The 2,756-nt window shown below is 55.8% G+C and overlaps 1 annotated feature.

The window, feature by feature from the left end:
* Positions 668 to 1,656: an enhancer, noted in NCBI's record as "H3K4me1 hESC enhancer chr2:121187849-121188837 (GRCh37/hg19 assembly coordinates)". NCBI's record gives its function as "activates a minimal SCP1, AML or CMV promoter by ChIP-STARR-seq in naive H9 embryonic stem cells {active_cell/tissue: H9 hESC(naive)}" and the evidence as "EXISTENCE:reporter gene assay evidence [ECO:0000049][PMID:30033119]".

Consider the following 2,756-nt stretch of genomic DNA (forward strand, 5'->3'; position numbering starts at 1 on the left):
GGGAGGGGCCTTTCTTCAGTTTTAGAGACTTACCTTCCAATCGGGCCCCCATTCCAGTTGTTTCTCACTCCTCCAACACTGCCATCGCTCTCATCTGAGCCTCTCCTTCCTGCAGCCCTCCCTGGCCACCACCCACCTCTGACAGCCAACCCTAAGTGGCAGAAAAGACCCCTAACCAGGGAAGTCAGACCTTGCCACTCCTCCAAACAAACCCTGGAAGGGCTTCCACCTCACTCAGCAAAGAGCCCAGAAATCCTTCCAGGGGCCTCTGCCTTCTGTTGCCTCCCTCTGGCCAGCAGTCTCTGCTCAGGCCACCCAGGGCTCCTTGCTGTTCTTCAGTCAGCACGCCCCTGCACTCACTGTTCAAGACTCTGCTCACGTGAGCCTCCCCGGAGGCTCTCCTGTCACTTCGCTGCCTCCTGCCTCATCTCACTCTCTGTGATCACCTTGCTTGCCTTTTTTTCCATGGCAAGCATCACTCCTTGCAGTACATTTGCATTTGTTTGCCGTGGTTTTCAGTCTCCCCCAAGAGGGAAATCAGCAGGAAGACAGGGCTTTGTTTTTTTCTTTTTTTTTTCTATCTGAGCATCTATCATTGATCTGTGCACAGCTGTGCCCCCACAACCCAGTACACACAGCAGGACACATAGTAGGGCTGATTATAAATTGTCAAAGAAAGGAATCAGGAAGTTTTAGCTCCAAGAGTCATGCTTGTCTGTCCAAGGCCACGCAGTCAGCAAATGCCAGTGGGGTGCCCTTGGTCTGTCTGACTCCAGAGCCAGTGCACATTGATGCATTTCAGTTGCCCTTGAGGACTTCCAAATCTGACATTGGAGGAGAGAGTGTGCCCTTCTGGGATTCAGTCTGCCTGTCTGTGGCAGACTGGCATGATGCTCTCCAGCCTCTCCCAGTTGCCTCCTCTGGGATTCCTTACAGCAGATTGGCCGATGGCTGATCCCAACCTCCCAGACAGCAAGAAGGCAGAGGGGAGCTGCAGGGCTTTTCAGGAGGCCAGCCTGGGGCTGTCTAGACACCAGCCACTCCTGTGGACAGTGCAGCAGCAGCAATGGCAGAGCCGGGTGACTCTGATCAGAAGGGGTGACCTCCTCGGGGGCAGCACCCCAGGACTGACAGAGGAAGGCAAGTCAGGATATTGCCGAAGCCCGGTCCCCTCCCTCCTTTTAGGATGCCCTGGGGCATCCCCTGAGGCCCAGCAGCATGGGTCACAAACCCTGTCATGCAAAATTTCCCACTCCTAGGGTGTTGGGGGAGAGGGTGCCTGGACTGAGTTGTGGTCATGCTCACTTACTGCGGTGAAACACTTCCTCGCATGTGGGCACAGAGGCTGTCGAATATCCATCCCAGAGTCAGTGAATGACATTGCCAGAGGCTGCTGCAGGGGAGGTAATGGACTGTAGCCACTGAGGGGTCTGAGGGGCAGCCTAGCTGTGAGGGGTGTTTAGCCGCTTCCATGGAGCAGGTGGGGGCTGGGGCAGCCCCTGTGGTGGGATGTCAGTGGGGTCCAGACCAGGCTCTGGGTCAAAGCCATGTGAGGAGCTCTGGCACCAGAGTGTGGCTTGAGGGCAGTATCCAGCCTTCCCTCAGTAAAGCCTCGGCACCACAGGGACGGTGGTGGGAGTGTTGGATGAGGATCTCTGTGTCAGACCACGGCACACACATTTGCACCATCTATCCGATGACATGAAAGGCCTCACCAACCACGTCTGGGTGCAAGTGAAGGGAAATGTAGATGGAATTGGCAAGCAATCTGTTATAACTTGCATCACCGGGTAAGCAGTTTGGTGATCGGTATAGTGTATTTGGCAAATAAAAGGGAAAATATTTTAAAACTTTAGGTGGATATTATAATTTACGCAACAGTCCCAGGTGTTAAGCATTTTGAGTATTACACCTGCTGTAACTTAGCCTGTCCCTGTGGAGGCTGCATGGGCGGTGCCCAGGTCGCAGTGGTGCCCACAGAGTGCAGATCAGCCGGGGCTGCAGGCACTGCATCAGGGAACCCTGTGCCATTGTAACCCTGGGGCTTGGCAGTAGCTCAGGAGGCCTCTGGGAGCCTGTAGGTGGAATCATGAACCCCAATTCCCAGCACTGGGGTCTGGCAGAGAAAAACTGGCAGGCTGAGGCATCCTTGGTCAAATACCTTGGAGTACAGTCAAACCGAGGCCCAGGCTCCTTGTCCCGTCTCTGTGTCCAAGGTGTGGGTAGAGGCAGGGGACGGTCTGAACTTCTGAGGCAGAAAGCTCCCTCCCTGGACTCCTTCATGTCGGGGGCAGCCCAGCCTAAAATCCCCACCCCGAACTTTCAGCCTGCTGAGGGGCAGCTCTAAAGTCCCAAAGTCTTGGGGGAAATCCCAAGACTCGTGAACTTAGGAATGTGCCATCACCTTGTGGAGCCTCGGCTTCCTCATCGGTAAATGTGGTGACTCCCTAAATCATGGCGCCAACTGCTCAGGAGGGTTCTGAGAACCAGAGCCGAAAACCCTGCACAGGGCAGGAACTCCATCATGGCACAATTTTGTTTCAAACATCCGTTCACAGGTCTGCTGCCCTATCCTCACCCGTGGGAATGAGTGAAGTCCCTTCCAGTGGCTTCTCCCCTGCGTGTGATATAGTCTCAAGCTCTGACCCGGCCCCCAGGGCTCACCTCCTCTGCCCTGCACCCCTCTGAGCTCCCTTCCTCCCCCGGGCCCTGTCTGCGCTCCACTCCTCCCCGGGACGCCCCCGCCCCCACCCCCA

The sequence above is a fragment of the Homo sapiens genome, chromosome 2, assembly GCF_000001405.40.
Source record: "Homo sapiens chromosome 2, GRCh38.p14 Primary Assembly".
Taxonomy (NCBI): domain Eukaryota; kingdom Metazoa; phylum Chordata; class Mammalia; order Primates; family Hominidae; genus Homo; species Homo sapiens.